Here is a 16,919-nt window from a genome sequence, read left to right on the forward strand (position 1 = left end):
TGTGAACAGCATTTACCTTGATAAGCATTCTTACATCTTAACTCTCGGGAATTTTAAATAGAAGTGTTCCGTGTGATTAAATTAACAGGTTTAGAGATGAGTGTCCTGGTTATTTCCTTTGTTCTCCTCCTGGTAGCTGCCTGCACTCACAGCATGTTGGGAATGGTGATTATAAATGTAACCATGCTCTCTTCTTGTAAGTGGAGAGCCCAGGTACCTCTTATCCAGCATGTGACCCTCTTTCTACCTCAGGATAGTCATACTCTTAGGCTTCCTGGATTTATTCAGGGCCAAGGAGTGGTCAAGGTCCTTTTTGTTTTGCCCTATTCCCTTTGGAAAACATTTAGTTTATGCCCATGTTACAGATTGCAAAATACAGGCACATATTCTCACTAATGTGGTCTGCATGTCCCTTTGCAAGGATCACGAGGTCAGGAGATGGAGACCATCCTGGCTAACACAGTGAAACACAGTCTCTACTAAAACATACAAAAAAAAAAAAATTATCTGGGCGTGGTGGTAGGTGCCTGTAGTCTCAGCTACTTGGGAGCCTGAGGCAGGAGAATGACGTGAACCCAGGAGGCAGAGCTTGCAGTGAGCCTAGATCGCACCACTGCACTCCAGCCTGGGCAACAGAGAGAGATTCTGACTCAAAAAAAAAAAAAAAAGAAAAGAAAAGAAAAGAAAAGGAGCCTCTTTGCCTCTTTACCCTAATCTGGGCAAGCCTTGCAACCTGATTTGCCAAAAAAATATGAAGGAAGCAATGTGATGTGATTTTCCAGGCTAGAATGTAAGAAGCCTTGGAGCTTCTGCTTTTACTGTCTTCAGATGCTGCCTGAAACCACTGTAAGAAGCTCTAACCTACTGGAGGATAAGGGGTGAGCCCAAGAGCATCAAGGCTCCCATCAACAGCCAGTCCTGTGAGTGAGGCCATCTTGGACCTGCCAGCTCAGTAAACCCTTTTGCTGAACACAGCCCAAGGAAGGAACCCTTGCAAAATGAAATCGTGTGGTCAGTTTGCGGGGTGGTTATTACACAGCAGTAGATGATTGAAAAGGCCCAGTGTCTTCCTGGGGACTGAAACACCCACCTCCTGTTCATGTTGATACACGGTGAGCAGCATATGGATGTGGGAGTGGTGTTGGTTGCAGGTGAGGTAGAGAAGCAGTGAACAGAGCACGAAGACCTGATGTTCCAGGGTCGGGAGTTTAGACTTGATCCTAACAGCGGCCATAGGCGGATTTAGGCAAGAGAGTAACGTGGTCAGATTTTCATTTTAGAAAGTTACTCTGACATCCATGTGGAAAATGAACTTGAAGGTCACAAGGCTGATGGAGCCAGGAAGACCATTTGGGAGGTGATTGTAGTAATCTACTTACGAGTTCATTACGAGCTGGGGAATGGGGAGGTGTTAGAGAAGAGAAAATGGATTTGAAGAGCTGAGGGATGTTAAAAAGGCAAAACTGGGCCAGGGATGGCGGCTCACGCCTGTAATCCCAGCACTTTGGGAGGCCAAGGTGGGCAGATCATGAGGTCAAGAGATTGAGATCATCTGGGCCAATATGGTGAAATCCCCTCTCTACTAAAAATACAAAAATTATCTGGATGTAGTGGCACACACCTATAATCCCAGCTACTTGGGAAGCTGAGGCAGGAGAATCGCTTGAACACAGGCAGCGGAGGTTGCAGTGAGCTGAGATTGCACCACCGCACACCAGCCTGGTGACAGAGAAAGACTCCGTCTAAAAAAAAAAACAAAAACAAAAAAACCGGAAAATTGTTGGGACTTGTAATTAATTGGGTGAGGAAACTGAGTGGCAAATGGTCTCAGCTCTACACATGGAGAGCCCTGGGGACATAGGGAGAGCATATTTGGAAGGAAAGATGATAATGTTAGTTCTTAAAATTTTGTTTGTGGAGGAGACATTCAGACAGAGAATTCTGTTGGGCAGTTTTATGTAGAGAACTACATCTAAAGAGGTCAGAAGTGAACTTCAATAAAATTGAGGTGACCAATGATCATCAGTTTTAAAGAGGACATATTTTCTTTTTCTGTTAAAGGGAACACACCTATGAGTCAGAAAGCCAGACTTTTATTTTTTCTCGCCAAAAGTTATTGTACAACCTACAGAAGAGAGTGTAAACACTGGTCTTTAAGATGAATTGTAAAGCTCTAAAGAGAATAAGAAAAATTGCGTTTCATGATTTATGATGGATAACATTTTAGAGTTGATTTCATAAGAGAATTCGTTAAGCCAATAGACAACCATGGCATTTTAACTGTAGTGTTTAAGTATCTTTAGCTCTGATTTTTTAATTAGCAGAAGCAAATAAAGAGAGCTTCGTTTTAACCATGAGAAATCTCTCTTCTGTATTTCATGTGACTAAATTTGTCCAGACGCTGAAGTTCAAATAATCACAGTGATTGCCAATATAATGGTTAATTTCCTGAGAAGTAAGTTCATACTTTGCCACAGTTTGCTCCCCTGTAAGATCAGACAGAAAAATAAGAATAAAACCGACTAATAGCTATTGATTGCCTCTGGAACAGCTATCAATATAAAGAGCCAGACAAAACACATAATAAAGAATTGTGTTAGTGCCAGAGAGACTTTAGAGATCATTTGCCCATCTCTTTACCTTCTCCCACTTGTTTCTGTCCCTCCACCCCACCAGCTCTGATACAGACACACAGGATATTAGCAAAGGATAGTATTTGTTGAGAGCCTTTTGCGTGTCAGGCACTGCTTCTAAACGTTGTATAATACCAGCTCATTCAATCTTCAAATCAATGCTATACAGTAGGTACTCTTCTTCTTTTTTTTTTTTTTTAATTTTACAGCTGAGGGACTGAGGTATGGAGAGGTTAGGTAACTTGTTCGAGGACACCAAGCCAGTCAGGGTGCCACTGGACCTAAGACAAGGTAACCTGGCTCTGAGACCAACCCCACAGAGAAGTATGTGGATGCTGACAACACTGTAGGAAGTTACAAGGAGCAAAAGAATAGCAGCCTCAGCCCTGAATTCCACTGTAAGCTTCCCTCTAATCTTCCCTGCCTCACTCTCAATCAAATAAAGAGCTGATCAGGAAGCAACTATGCACGGTCTCCACAGTCTCTTATCTTAACCCAGACTCTCCTTTCTATTGATAGCAGGTCTGTAGATAATAATTCTTTCAACCAATTGACAATCAGAAAATCTTTGAATCTATCTATGACCTGTAAGCCCCATTACTTTGAATTTTCCTCCTTCCAGACCAAACCAATGCAGACCAAACCAATGCAGAACTCCTATGTGCTGATGGTGGTCTTACATTTCCCTAAGTTTCTGCCGACTAAACTGTGCACACGTTCTCAGGACCTCCTGAAGCTGCGTCACAGGCACTAATCAAAGAACACAACCAAGGTGAGTCTCAATCATTTCAAGAAATCTATTTGCAAGGTTAAGGACACACCTGAGAAAAGAACAGAGAACCACAGGAAAAACTGTGGTCCGTGCTTTTCGCAAAGGTTGTCTGGGGACCTCAGTAAGTAAAGGGGAAAAGTGCGGGTATTGGGGAAAGGGGAAGAAGTGGAAAAAATGGGTGTGGGTAAATCAGAGGCAAATGGTTGCATTCTTCTGTCTTTGGTCAGCGTTCACTGAATACACATTTTGCATGCGATGGAGGTAGAGGCAGGGATGTAGCTTTTTTGTCTTTGTGTAATAGCTATCTTATTTAGGAACCAGATGGGAAGCAGGTTTGCATAAGCCAGTTCCCAGCTTGGCTTTTCCCTTTGGCTTAGTGAGTCTGGGGTCCCAGGATTTATTTTCTGTTCTCACAGGTTGTGGTCCTCACATTTGGCTCAAAATATTCAAATTTTTTCCAGAGTTTGGCCTTTTCTTCAGCACTGGGAATTGTGATCCAAAGCTTTTCCTGATGAAGCACAAAGTTGGAGAAAAAAAACGCAAACTAAACAACAACAATGAAACAGAACAGAGTGAATCTGCTGTAGCTCAAGAGAGGACGTAGCTGCCCCCACTCCGCATCCCCGGGCTCGGGTTTGCCTTGCTGACCTCTGCTGCCACCTGGTGCCGCACAGAGAAACTGAGGAGAAACCACATCAGTCTCCTTCAGCCTCAGCTTCACATCTGTGGGTCAAGTAACCCTTTCAGAAGCTGAATAATGTGGGAAAGCTTTCCTCTCAGGAAAATGCACACATCCAACTTTGAGAAGATGCCCTTGGGGGCGCTTCAAGGATTCTAGATAATAACCCCCTTTCCCGAACATCCAAGAACCTAAGATTTTTTTTTTTTTTTTGAGAAAGTCTCGCTCTCTCTCCCAGTCTGGAGTGCAGTGGCGTGATCTTGGCTCACTGCCAGCTCCACCTCCCAGGTTCACGCCATTCTCCTGCTTCAGCCTCCCTAGTAGCTGGGGCTACAGGCACCTGCCACCAAACCCGGCTAATTTTTTTGTATTTTTAGTAGAGACGGGGTTTCACCGTGTTAGCCAGGATCGTCTTGATCTCCTGACCTTGTGATCCACCCGCCTCGGCCTCCCAAATTGCTGGGATTACAGATGTGAGCCACCGCACCTGGTCCAAGAGCCCAAGTTTTAGATCTAGAGTGATGTCAGCATGACATTGATTTCCTGAGGCCCAGGGGCGAAGGAGCTGAGGACAGCAGAGGGGTGAAGGAACTCAGCTACAGACAGCAGCAGCTGATGCACAGGCCTCCCAGCGCCTGAAGTCACCCGGAATTGGGAAGTGCTCAGAAGCTTACAAAGCTGCCTCGAGGTGGGAACATGACATAAATCCAAGAGCAGATCCCTGATCCTATAAAAATGTACTAGATGCAGTGGGGGCATTTTAAATGAGCAGAGAAGGACAGACAGATAAACAGAAGGACAAACAGTATTGGGATTGGGATAAATGCTCAGCTTTTGCCCAAATCTTAGTGACTTAAGCATCACTTATTTGCTCACGATTCTGTGGCTGGACCATTTGGTTTGGCTCACAGGGCAGGGACTGTGCTGGTCTTACCTGAGCAGACCTGCATGTCTGCGGTCAACTGGGTTGGCAGAGACAGAGTGACTGTCTTCCTCCAGGAAGCAGCAGGTTAACTGGTTGGCAGAGACAGAGGGACAGAGGGACTGTCTTCCTCCAGGAAGCAGCAGGTTAACTGGTTGGCAGAGACAGAGGGACTGAGGGATTGTCTTCCTCCAGGAAGCAGCAGGTTAACTGGTTGGCAGAGACAGAGGGACAGAGGGACTGTCTTCCTCCAGGAAGCAGCAGGTTAACTGGTTGGCAGAGACAGAGGGACTGAGGGACTGTCTTCCTCCAGGAAGCAGCAGGTTAACTGGTTGGCAGAGACAGAGGGACAGAGGGACTGTCTTCCTCCAGGAAGCAGCAGGTTAACTGGTTGGCAGAGACAGAGGGACTGAGGGACTGTCTTCCTCCAGGAAGCAGCAGGTTAACTGGTTGGTAGAGACAGAGGGACTGAGGGACTGTCTCCCCCCAGGAAGCAGCAGGTTGGCTCTGTTTCCTTCGTGGGGCAGCTGGTCTCCAGGGCAGCAAGAGAGACCAAGCCCCAGTGCACATTCTACAGCCTCTGTGCACATCAGACTTGTTAATATCCCATTGGCCAGTGTAAGTCACATGGCCAAGCCCAGATTAAGGAGTGGAAAGATGGAGGCTATCTCCTCCTGGGAGAGGAGGCCAAGGAGGTGGGAGTATTATGTGGCCACTTATGTTTGCAATCTACCATAATTAGCACTTTGAGAAAAGAATTAACTGAGAAACTTGCTTCAAATAGGGCATTCAGTAAAATGAAGCCCCAATTGAAGTAAAATGCATATATAAAAAATGAAACTGTGACCGATTTTAAGGACAGTATTGGCAAATATTTCTGTGCTCTTGGAGGAGAAGACCCTTATTGGCATGACATGTCAGAAACCACAATGAAAGAATTATTTTAACTTGCATTCATAAAAATTAAAATTATTCATTAAAAACATCGTGAATGAAATTAAAAGTCAAAATGTAAGCCAGAAAATTATTTACAATGTATGTGTCAGGAAAAGACAATACCCTTCAAACTTTGAGAGTTTACATCAGAAAGAAAACAGCAAATGACATGATCCAAACTTGATAAAGGACATGAAAAAGAGCCAGCACTTAGTATGTTTTCTGAATGAATAAGTAGCCAACAGCACATGAAAATGCGTGTAATCCATTTGTAAGCAGAGAAATGCAAACTAAAACAGTAAAGTGTCATTTTCATTTCCTGGATTGGCAAAGGGTTTTATGTATTTTACTGATAGTGCTCAATATTAGCAGTAAACAACAAATGGTGAGTAAATATGAGCTTCGGAACCTCAGGGAAATGATCTCCTTATTTCAACCTGTAGATTCCTTCCTACAACCAGTGTCTACAGAGCACCTACTATGTGCCAGGCACAGCCTAAGTCCTGAAGGTGTAGTCTCCACTGAGAAGGTGATATTTGCACAAAGACCTGAAAGACAGGAGTGAACTGTGTGGATAACTGTGGGTACCCCTACAGGCAGAGGAGTAGCAATGTGGGTCCCAAGGTGGGACCACATCAGACATGTTCGAGGACTAGCTGAGGGAGAGAGGTGGGAGGTCAGAGGAGATGGGGGCCGGCTCTGCTGGCCATCACGAGCACTCTGGGTGCAGAGGGCGAGAGGTGGAAGGTCAGAGGAGATGGGGGCCGGCTTTGCTGGCCAACACGAGCACTCTGGGTGCTGAGGGCGAGAGGTGGGAGGTCAGAGGAGATGGGGGCTGGCTCTGCTGGCCGTCACGAGCACTCTGGGTGCTGAGGGCAAGAGGTGGGGAGGAGGTCAGAGGAGATGGGGGCTGGCTCTGCCGGCCAACACGAGCACTCTGGGTTTTCCTCCAAATGCTATGAGAGCAGGGGAGTAACCTGGTCTGACTTGGGTGTGAGCAGATCTCTCTGGTTGTTGTTCTGGAAAAAACTGAGGTGCCCACGTGAAAGCAGAGATCGGTTAGGAGGCTGCTGCAGCAATTCAGGCAAAAATGGGTGGCGGGCCTCGGGTGTAGTGGAGGAGAAGCGATCGGATTTTGGATATTTGTAGCTCCCCCAATACGATTTCCTGGAGAAGGAGATGACTTCAATCTTCTGGCCTGAGTAGCTGAAAGGATGAAGCTGTCCTTCGTGGAGGTGGGGAATCCACAGAGAAGCGGGTAGGGAGAGAGTATCAGGAGCTCAGTGTTAGCCATGGATGTTCGAGGGGAGGTATTGAGCAGCTGATAGAGACACAGGCCTGTGGTCCCAGGAAAAGGTCTGGGGGTCACTAGCCCATGGATGGAGTCACAGGCTGCATAGACTGCAGGAAAGCGAAGGTGGAGAGAGAAGAGCAGAGTACCAGGATGGACCATTGAGCACCCTGGTGTTGAGAGCAAGTGGCCTCTAGTCAGAGTTGGGTCAGGGCCACTGTGAGTGGGCTGCCCCCAACATGAGTCGGCTGTCTAGGACTAGTTTATCTCTGCTTCTCACTTTACTGGTATTATGGGGCAGCTCCTGCTGTCTTCCAATTTGGTGTTTGTAAAATGAGACATAAAAAGCAGGTGACAAGGATACCAGGAAGTGCACAGGTCTGAGTGGAGTATGGGGCTGTCTCCAGGGGAGAGGTGGCTGTTTGGAGGGAAGGGTGACAATGGATAATCAGGGTCCATGGGCATCCCTGCTTGTTTTGGAGCCATGGACACTCAAATAATGTGATTTTATGAGGCTATTGGAGAAAAAATTGGCCACAGGGCCAAGAGGGCTGGGAGGACCCCAGCTCTCCGACTGGTGTTTGCTTCTCTGCCATCAGGGTCGGGAGGCCATGCCAAGCATTGTGATTTGCAGAGTCCATGAGACAGGAACACTCCCACCACAGTGACCTGCCTCTGCACACAGCCAGAATGTAGCTGACTCCTTTCTTCTCCCACTTGCATGCTTCCAAGCCTTCAAAACATACTCATCTCCATGTTCTGTGAATTAGCAATTTTTAAAAAAATAAAAAAATAAACAAACTCATCTCTGAAGGTCCAGGTGATTTTTATGTTTTACAGAAAGTTTTGTGAAGAGATGACAGAAAGGGTTATATCACATCCACACAGCAATAACTCCTCAAAAGCAACTTTTGGCCGGGTGTGGTGGCTCATGCCTGCAATCCCAGCACTTTCAGGGGCCGAGGCGGGAGGATCGCTTGTGCTTAGGAGTTTGAGACTAGCCTGGGCAACATAGCAAGTCCCTGTCTCTACTTAAAAAAGAAAAAAAAAATGAGCCAGATGTGGTGGCACGCAGCTGTAGTCCCAGCTACATGGAAGACTGAGGTGGTAGGATCACTTGAGCCAGGAGGTTGAGGCTACAGTGAGCCATGATCACACCACTGCACTCCACCCTGGGTGACAGAGTGAGACCCTGTCTCAAACTTTTTTAAAAGGCCAGGCATGGTGGCTCATACCCATAATCCCAGTACTTTGGGAGGCCAAGGTGGGTGGATCACTTGAGCCCAGGAATTTGAGACCAGCCTGGGCAACATGGTGAAACCCCATCTCTACTAAAAGTCAAAAAAATTAGGTAGGTGTGGTGGTATACATTTGTAGTCTTGGCTCCTTGGAAGGCTGATGTGGGAGGATTGCTTAAGCCTAGGAGGTCGAGGCTACAGTGAGCCATGATTGCACCGTTGCATTCCAGCCTGGGCAAGAGTGAAACCCTGTCTCTCTCTGTCTCTGTCTGTCTCTCTCTCTCTCTGTCTCTTTCTCTCTCTCTGTGTCTCTCTCTCTCTCTCTCTCACACACACACAACTTATAAGCATCTCTTGTTTCTCCTAAAATTACCCTTCTAGCATTAGCTGTCCCATTAAAATTCTAATAGGCTTTTTTGTGGACATCTGCAAATTAATTATAAAATTTATATGGACATGCAAAGGGCCAAGTAAGGGCCCTTAAAAGGGACAAAAATGGGAGAAATTACTAGATACCATGGCTCACCATAAAAGCTGCCTTGATTAAGACAGTGTGGCAGTGGTCAGCAAACAGTGGTCTGCCCCTGGGCCAACTCTGCCCACCATCTGTTTCTGTATGGCCCATGAAGCAAGAATGATTTTTACATTTTTAAATGGTTGAAAATAATTGATTGGTGGGGACAATGCTGGTGGAGTCTGAAGTTGTCATGCAGTGACTCACTCAAGGTTAGGCAGATTTGGTGATATATGACACAGAGATGCAAAGAAATGCTGTAGCTGACACACACAGGGTGGCTCTGGGAGATGCAGAAGGAGCATGTCACCCAAAATAGAGCCAGATAGACATCTTTAAGGAAGGAGCAAAGGGGCTGCATCTTAAAGAATGAAGAAGGGATTTGTCATGAGAGATGGGGCAGGAAGTTCTTGAGAGGCAGAGGGAGAGCATGAGAATGCTGGGAAGGGAGGAGAGATTCTCACACATCTGGGAAGCTGACAATTCATCAGCATGTCCGGAAGGAAAATAAGGAGGAGGAGCAGAAATAGATGAGGCTGGATATAGAAGCAGGGCTGAAGCTGTGTTGATCGTGGTAAAGAGTTGTGATTCTATCCAGAAGGCAATAGGTAGCATTCTAAACAGAGATCTCTTAAAACAAGAGTCAGCAAATATTTTCTGCAAAGGGCTAAATGTTAAATATTTTAAGTTTTCCAAGCCATATGGTCTCTCTCTTAATGACTCAGGTCTTCCATTATACCATGAAAGTAACCAGAGACGTTATATAACACATGTATTGGCTGTGTCCCATTACAACTTTACTTACAAACGCAGACTGTGTCAGACCTGGTCCATGCATGGTAGTTTGCCACACCCTGTTTTAGAAAGCTCAGGTTTATGATGTGATGGAGAATGCCTACAAGAGCTCTTGTTTTAAATGGTAGAGTGAAGATACACTGGAATTCTATCCTGCTTGACCCAAGCTCTTGATAGCGAAAGGTAGAAAAGATAGATAGTAAATAGATAGATAGATGATAGGCAGGTAGATAGATAGATGATAGATAAAGAAAATACATAGCTGTTCCAGAAAACAGAAATGGATAATTTCATGAACCAAAAGCAGAGTAATATACTTTAGAAAGGAAGCAGGCTGGAAGACCCACAGTTGCAAAGCAAATAGAATTTCCAACTGCCTCTTGTAGCCCCTTCCTGGAAGTAGTCACAGCCCAGGGTGTTCAACTTCTTCCTCTGTTTTTTGTTTGTTTGTTGTTTGCTTTTCTGTGGGGTTTTTGTTGTTGTTGTTTGCTTTTTAAAAAAAATCCCTTTCCCTGCTTTTTTGTCACAGCAGCCTTTGTCACTTCAAACACCGCAAGTGTTCTTTAAAAAAAATTATATCAACCTTTCAACTAAAATGCAACATGTCTGAAACTTGGTATCTGGAGAGGTGAGAGGGACAAAGGAGCCGTTGTTACTGCACGTTTTCATTCTCCAAACTTCACCTTGCACACAGTAACAGACAATGCACAAAGCTACTTCCTTATGGACGGAAATTCTGAAATCCTTTTATGCCTGGCCTTTCCATCCTTCAACTTCCCCTCTCCCATGCTGTGAGTGATTGTATTGGACATTTTTGTTTTAATCTCAGTGACAGGGGAACACAGATAGCTCTAATATAGCTGTGACCCAGATGCTTCTGTTTCTAGCATGTATTAATTTTGCAGCAAACATTACATCCATAATTTTTCACTGTCCTTTGAAAATAATTAGGCAATATCTCATCTGAGGTAGGATGTTTCTAGGGGTTGTGTTCTGAGTGAGAAAAACTAATCTGTTCTCTTTCCACTGCATTCTAGGAACAGTAAGAGGACCTTGTGCATGAATAATTTGTTTCCACACTGCAGAGTGGGTAATAAGCAGATTAGTAAAAACAATTCTGCTTCACTTCAATAACAGCCTCCTCCAACTCATTTTTTCTCAACAAACTTATTTTTGCAGCAGAAGAATCCCAGACTTCTTAGAGAACCCAGTGACTTTTTGCACCTTAAATCTGTGAAATCCTCATGCTTTCTTCTGCCGTATCCATCGTTCAAACAAACATGAGGCAAAGCTAGACACATTCCTGAAGGAACCCAAGAAATTCCTCTCTTTCTCTCTCTGGAATGAAATGAATTCTCTAGACCACCAGTTCTAACCTTCAAAAACGAAACCTGTTTGTGAGATCTCCTTCAAATACTACTGTAGACCCCAGTGTTTATTCATTAAATTTTTTAAACATTTGTTTTATTTGGAATCAAAGTATTTGTAATTTTAGTATTTGTATTAATATAAGGGAGAAATGTTTAAATCTGTCTATGCCACATGTGCCTTCGGCTTATTGCCCAATTAATTGTAGCCTCAGGCTAAACTTTGGTTTCTGTCTTTAATTTTTGTCGGAAGAAATATAACTGGTCTCAAAACATCTGCTTTTATTGTAGGGACTCGTGCTGCCATCTCCATTCCTCTCTCTTTTCTTGCAATCTGGGTGGAAGTTCTTTAATATGAACATTTCAACCACCTTCACTCTACCATGTCCACTATCAGCACATTCAAACGTATCCAGCCAAGGGTATCATCTTAGGCCAGGGATTTTTTAGGAATCTATTTTGCTGTGATGCACCTGGTACCCCTTTGACTCACTTTATCACCCCAGGGTTCTTTTCATTTTAGAAGCCCAAGAGGGCAGAAAAAGAAGTAGGTGAGCAATTAAACTCTCCAAGTCAGGAGCGTCTCCCCTTGTGTTAAGCAATGTTGTAGAACATCGTATTTAGCAAGCTCCTAGCAGATGAGCCACGTGGCTGCTGAGCACACACGCCTGCTTGCTGCTGTGAGCTCAGACACCATCATTATGTCTTTTTCACCTCTGGAGGGAATTGTAAGCGCCACTTAATAACCTGTAAATCGTAGAGAGTTAAAGGTGTTTCCCTAAAACACTGATGACAGAATGAAAGGTAAGGAGTGTTAGCCACAGGTCAAAAGTGCAGGAAAGTCTCTCTATGTGGGTTGTTGAAGAAATGCAGGTCTTTTTTCTTTTGGAAGTCTCCCTAGAATGGGGTCAAGGACTCTGCCCATTCTAGGATGAAAAACTGGGATATTAGACACCCTCAGATATTTATCCCAAGCTTTCATTTTGGGCTCTTAATTAGTTCATCCATCACAATCGCAAATGCTAAGCAGGGCAGTTGAATCTGTCTACAGTCCAAATCAGCACCTTCTTTTAAAGTTGAGTTTCTTATTATTCTCACCTGATATACCTTATTTATCCCACACCCACCCCAATAACATATCGTGCTCACTGTTATCTTTAAGAAAACACTTGAATTTAACTCAGCCTGGAGCTCTCTTCACATGTCTTGTCCAGATCCAGTTCGGACTCATTCTTCAGCCGTGCATCAGTCAATGGGGGCTAGGTTAAACTGTGGTGACAAACAACCTCCAAATTTCAGTGGCTCAAAAATCTTCTTCCTCATTTATTTACATTTCATCATGGGTCAGGTGAGAGGTAGCTCTGTGCTGTGTCATCCTAACACAGGAATCCAGACGGAAGGAGGGACGATCAATAAGATCCCCATTGCTATAGAAAAGAGAAAAAAGTATGTGGAATAGCACTCTGTTTCTTGGAGATTTCTCCTGAAAAAGTCACATGTTATTTCTTCTCACCTCCATTGGCAAAAAAAAAAAGTCATGTGGCCATGTGAAAATGTAAGTAGGCGGGATGGAACAGTCAGAATGCATTCATAAAATATGAACTGAAAATATCTGGAGAACAGCACCTATGACTACAACGAATGCCAACATGCATCCCTAACAACCCAGTGCTGTCACCCTCCAAACTTTTTATGTCTTGCAAAGTATTAGAACTTCTTATCTGAAGCCATACCACTCAGAGGGAATGCAAAATACATATTGACATCTCCTTTAGGATGTCCTTAGAGAATTCATGGAAAAGAAGTTAAATAATTTAAAAGTGCTTTTGGGTACAGCTATTTAGCACTAGAGGGTAAGAGTAGAGATAGATTGTAAAGATAATAATAGGGTTAGGCATAGGATTAGGATCTGGGTCAGAGTCAGGGCCGGAAGTATGGTTAGAGGTGGGGTCATGGTCAGGGTCGAGATCAAAGTCAGGGTCAAAGTAAGGGTCAGAATTAGGGACCAGGATAGGGATCAGGATTTAGGTTCAGTGTCAAAGTCTTGGGACAGGGTTAGGGTTAGGATTAGAACCAGAGCTTTGTTCTCCTCAGGACCCACCCGAGGGTGGGTCACCATGGCTTTGGAGCGCCTGGTAGTGTGGCGTGTCCACAGTGAAGACCAGAGTTTCATTGTCCTTAAGACTGACCTGGGGAGATGTGGCTGTAGGCCATTGAGGAAGGTGAGGCAACAGCTTCCTGTCTGCTCCCCGTGTGCTGAGGAGGGAGTTCTGCCGTGGGCTTTACTTTCACATGTTATATTCCACAAGTCTTGTTTTACAAAAGCATCCCTTCCTTGAGGCTTCGGCTGCTCATCGCTGCTCATCATCATAGCGTGCCATAACATATAGTAAGATTTGGGTTTGTTTCTGGGGAGATATCTTGGTATAGAGAAAGGAGAAATGCTTAGAGCCACCATCAGGACAGTTGGGATGAAAGTTGGGTATAGGCAGAGGCTGGAGGAAACATGTGCATCCCCTGTAAACACTTTTATTCATGTTTTAATTACTCATTTTTCTTACAGTGTTAAATTAGTAAAGATAGTATTGAAAAATTGAAAAGTAGGCATATTAAAACTTGCAACACTATTTAAGCCTAGATATATTATTTGTACCTCATCAACATTTTTTATTGTGTTGAGAAAGTTTAAGGTTAATTGACAGCATATTTCTAATAGTAGATAGAATAACATCCCTTTTATAAACATTGACATCCTACATTACATGTGTGAACCCTGAAAATCTGAGACAGCTCTCAGATTTTTTAGAAAGTTTATTTTGCCAATCTTGAGGATGTGCGCCTGTGATGCCTCCTCAGGAGATCCTGACAACATGGGCCCAAGGTGGTCGGGGCACAGCTTGGTTTTATACACTTTAGGGAGACACGAGAGATCAATCAATACGTGTAAGATGTACATTGGTTCAGTCCAGAAAGGTGAGAAGGCCAGACAGGGGGCTTCCAGGTCACAGGTAAGTAAGAGACAAATGGTTTCATTCTTTTGCATTGCTGATTACCCTCTCCATGTGAGGCAATCAGGTATGCATTTATCTAGGTGATCAGACGGGTGTCTTTGGATAGAATGGGAGGCGGGTTTGCCCTAAGCAGTTCCCAGCTTGACTTTTCCCTTTAGCTTAGTGATTTTGAGTCCCCAAGATTTATTTTCCCTTCGTAAGTGTTCCTATGAGTATTAATTATTCATTGTGTCTTTTATTACACAAATAAGGCACAGATTTTTAAGAAATCATCAACTTCATGGCTACCTATATAGACATAATTACACAGAAGCTCAACTAAATTTGCAAACATTCCAGAGTTTGGGTTTCCAATAATTCTTTGTGATTCTTTAAAAGGTAAAGTATTTTTTCCCATAAAACATAGCAACATTTAAAATCACCCGTAGAATGTCCCGCCATTTTTGTTTTTCTAGTTTCCTCATTTTCTGCAAATCCTCGCTGAGGAAATTGACTTTGAATATCCTTTTAGACTCTTTTGTTTTAGAAAGCATTGTGGTAAAACATTGAATCATCATGGTCATAAGTTCTGTTCACATTCTTTCTTTCTTTGAATATTTTTTCCCATTGGCCAATATTTGATTCTGTTGTATTAGGGCTAAAAGGTAGGCATGGCAAGAAAATAAAGACAGGAAGTCTTTGGAATAATTGATCCCATCATAATGAATCAATTTGTCATTGGAACATGTTTTTACAAAGTCACTCTTTTGAAAATATTCAGCTATGACTTGAAAGAGAGTCTGTATGGTTAATATTTTTCCTGGTCTAAGGTGAACAGCTTTTTAGAGAATGAACCCAGGACACAACCACAGCACAAGAAAAAAATATGATAATTAAGTTTACACATATTGTTACTACTGTAACAGAAAACATGTAAAGGACATTTGTTTTGATTTATATATCAGTCTGCACTGTTTAATTTTTTGTGTCATAATTGCTCTTATTTTAAAAAACAGGACTAGTTAACAGTGTCAATTACTAGTAATTCATGGTATAAATAATTAAACAAGGAAGTGTTAAAAAAACAGTGTTTTAAATAAAGTTTTATTTTACGTCTTTTTTTTACTTACACAGAAATCGTCAAAAAAAAAAAGCAGAGATTTCCCATGTAGCCGCAACCTAGTTTCCTCTCTTATTAACATCTTCTATCAGTGTGTCTCACATGGCTTATTAATATCTTACATAATTTGCCGCAGTTAATGAACCAATACTGATAGACTGTTATTAACTGAAGTTCATATTTCATTTGGATTCCCTTAGTTCTATCTTACTCTGACCCAGGATCCCATCCAGGATCCCGCACGACATGTAGTCATCACATAGGCTCTTCCTGGCTGTGACAGTGTGTCAGGCTTTCCATCTCATGATGACCTTCATAGCACTGAGGAGGATTGGTCAGGAATTTTGTAGAATGCCCCCCATTGTCACTTCATGTTCTCAAGGTGAACTGTCAGCTTTGATATTCACTTGGATCATTTGGCAGAGCTACTGTTTGTCAGATTTCTCCACTGTGAAGTTATTTTTCCTCCTTGTCCGTACTGCATGTGTTCTTTTGGAGCAAGTCACTATGCAGAGCCCACACTTACGGAGTGAGGAGTTGGCTCCACCTTCTTGATGGCTGAGTGTCTACATCAGTTATTTGGAATTCTTTTGCAAAGGAGATTTCTATGCAACTCCATTTGCTTATTCACGTAGGTATACAAATACAGACACCTAGATAATTACTTTAAGCTTTAGTTATTATTCGACACTATAGCATTATGTTGCACAATTCCTTCCTGTGTTGGCCATCGGTAGCTGTTTTTATTGGCTTTTATTTTTGTTTGATATATTTTAATTTTTTTAGTACTTACTTTCTGATACTTCCAGATTATCCTGGCTCCTATATTTACTGTCCCAGTTCTAGTATCAGACATTTCTTCAAAGAGCCTGATTCCTTTCAGAATGGTGGGAAAACTTACATGTGGCTGCTGAATGCACATTGTATCTTGTCCCTCATTAGCAATGCTAGGAAGCATATGTGCGTGTCTAACCTACCTACACACACCTAATTATAAAGTTTTCTATGTAGAACTGTGTGTATCTATATTAAACTAAGCATAAGTTTACGTTGATGTCTCCACCTCTGATCTACTATCACAGGAATCATTCTAGCCTTCTCGTCTTGCTAATTTGTAACCTCCCACTTCAACAGTGAGAAAGCTGGTTCCCACCATCTGCGACTTATGTAAGTCATTGTTTTACTCCAGATACAGACACTGTGGTTTTACAATTGTTCACAATTGCTTCTGTTGGAAAGAACTTTATAAAATGGAATCCAATAATGAAGTATAGTTCATGTGCCTTCAGCCTACAGATTCTATTCATTTTCAAAGTTTTTACCTAGATTTGTGTCTTAGTCCATTTTGTGCTTCTGTAACAGAATACCTGAGGCTGCGTAATTTATAAGTAAAACAGTTTCATTTGGTTCACAATACTGGTGGCTGGAATGTCTGAGATTGGGCAGTTGCATCTGGCGGGGCCTCAGTCTTTTTCACCTCATGGTGGAAAGTGGAAGGGGAGCAAGGGGTGCACCAGCGATCACACAGCAGAAGTGAAAGCAAGAGGGAAGCCAAGGAAGCCAGGCTCTTTTTAATTACCTACTCCTGCAGGAATTATCTATTCCTGTGAGAACAGAACTCACTCACCCCCATGGAGGACATTAATCTATTCATGAGGGATC

The 16,919-nt window shown here is 43.2% G+C and overlaps 1 long non-coding RNA gene across 1 annotated transcript in view, besides 1 other annotated feature; it reads left to right on the top strand.

The window, feature by feature from the left end:
* Window positions 1–11,254, top strand: part of LINC02193 (long intergenic non-protein coding RNA 2193) — a 35,498-nt gene extending 24,244 nt beyond the window's left edge. The window contains exons 2-4 of the long non-coding RNA NR_186354.1: window positions 3,256–3,405; window positions 3,867–4,772; window positions 10,818–11,254. This is a non-coding gene — a long non-coding RNA (long intergenic non-protein coding RNA 2193). The remainder of the gene's footprint in view (window positions 1–3,255; window positions 3,406–3,866; window positions 4,773–10,817) is intronic.
* Window positions 15,382–15,883: an enhancer, noted in NCBI's record as "NANOG hESC enhancer chr16:90293216-90293717 (GRCh37/hg19 assembly coordinates)". NCBI's record gives its function as "activates a minimal SCP1, AML or CMV promoter by ChIP-STARR-seq in naive H9 embryonic stem cells {active_cell/tissue: H9 hESC(naive)}" and the evidence as "EXISTENCE:reporter gene assay evidence [ECO:0000049][PMID:30033119]".

The sequence above is a fragment of the Homo sapiens genome, chromosome 16, assembly GCF_000001405.40.
Source record: "Homo sapiens chromosome 16, GRCh38.p14 Primary Assembly".
Classification (NCBI taxonomy): domain Eukaryota; kingdom Metazoa; phylum Chordata; class Mammalia; order Primates; family Hominidae; genus Homo; species Homo sapiens.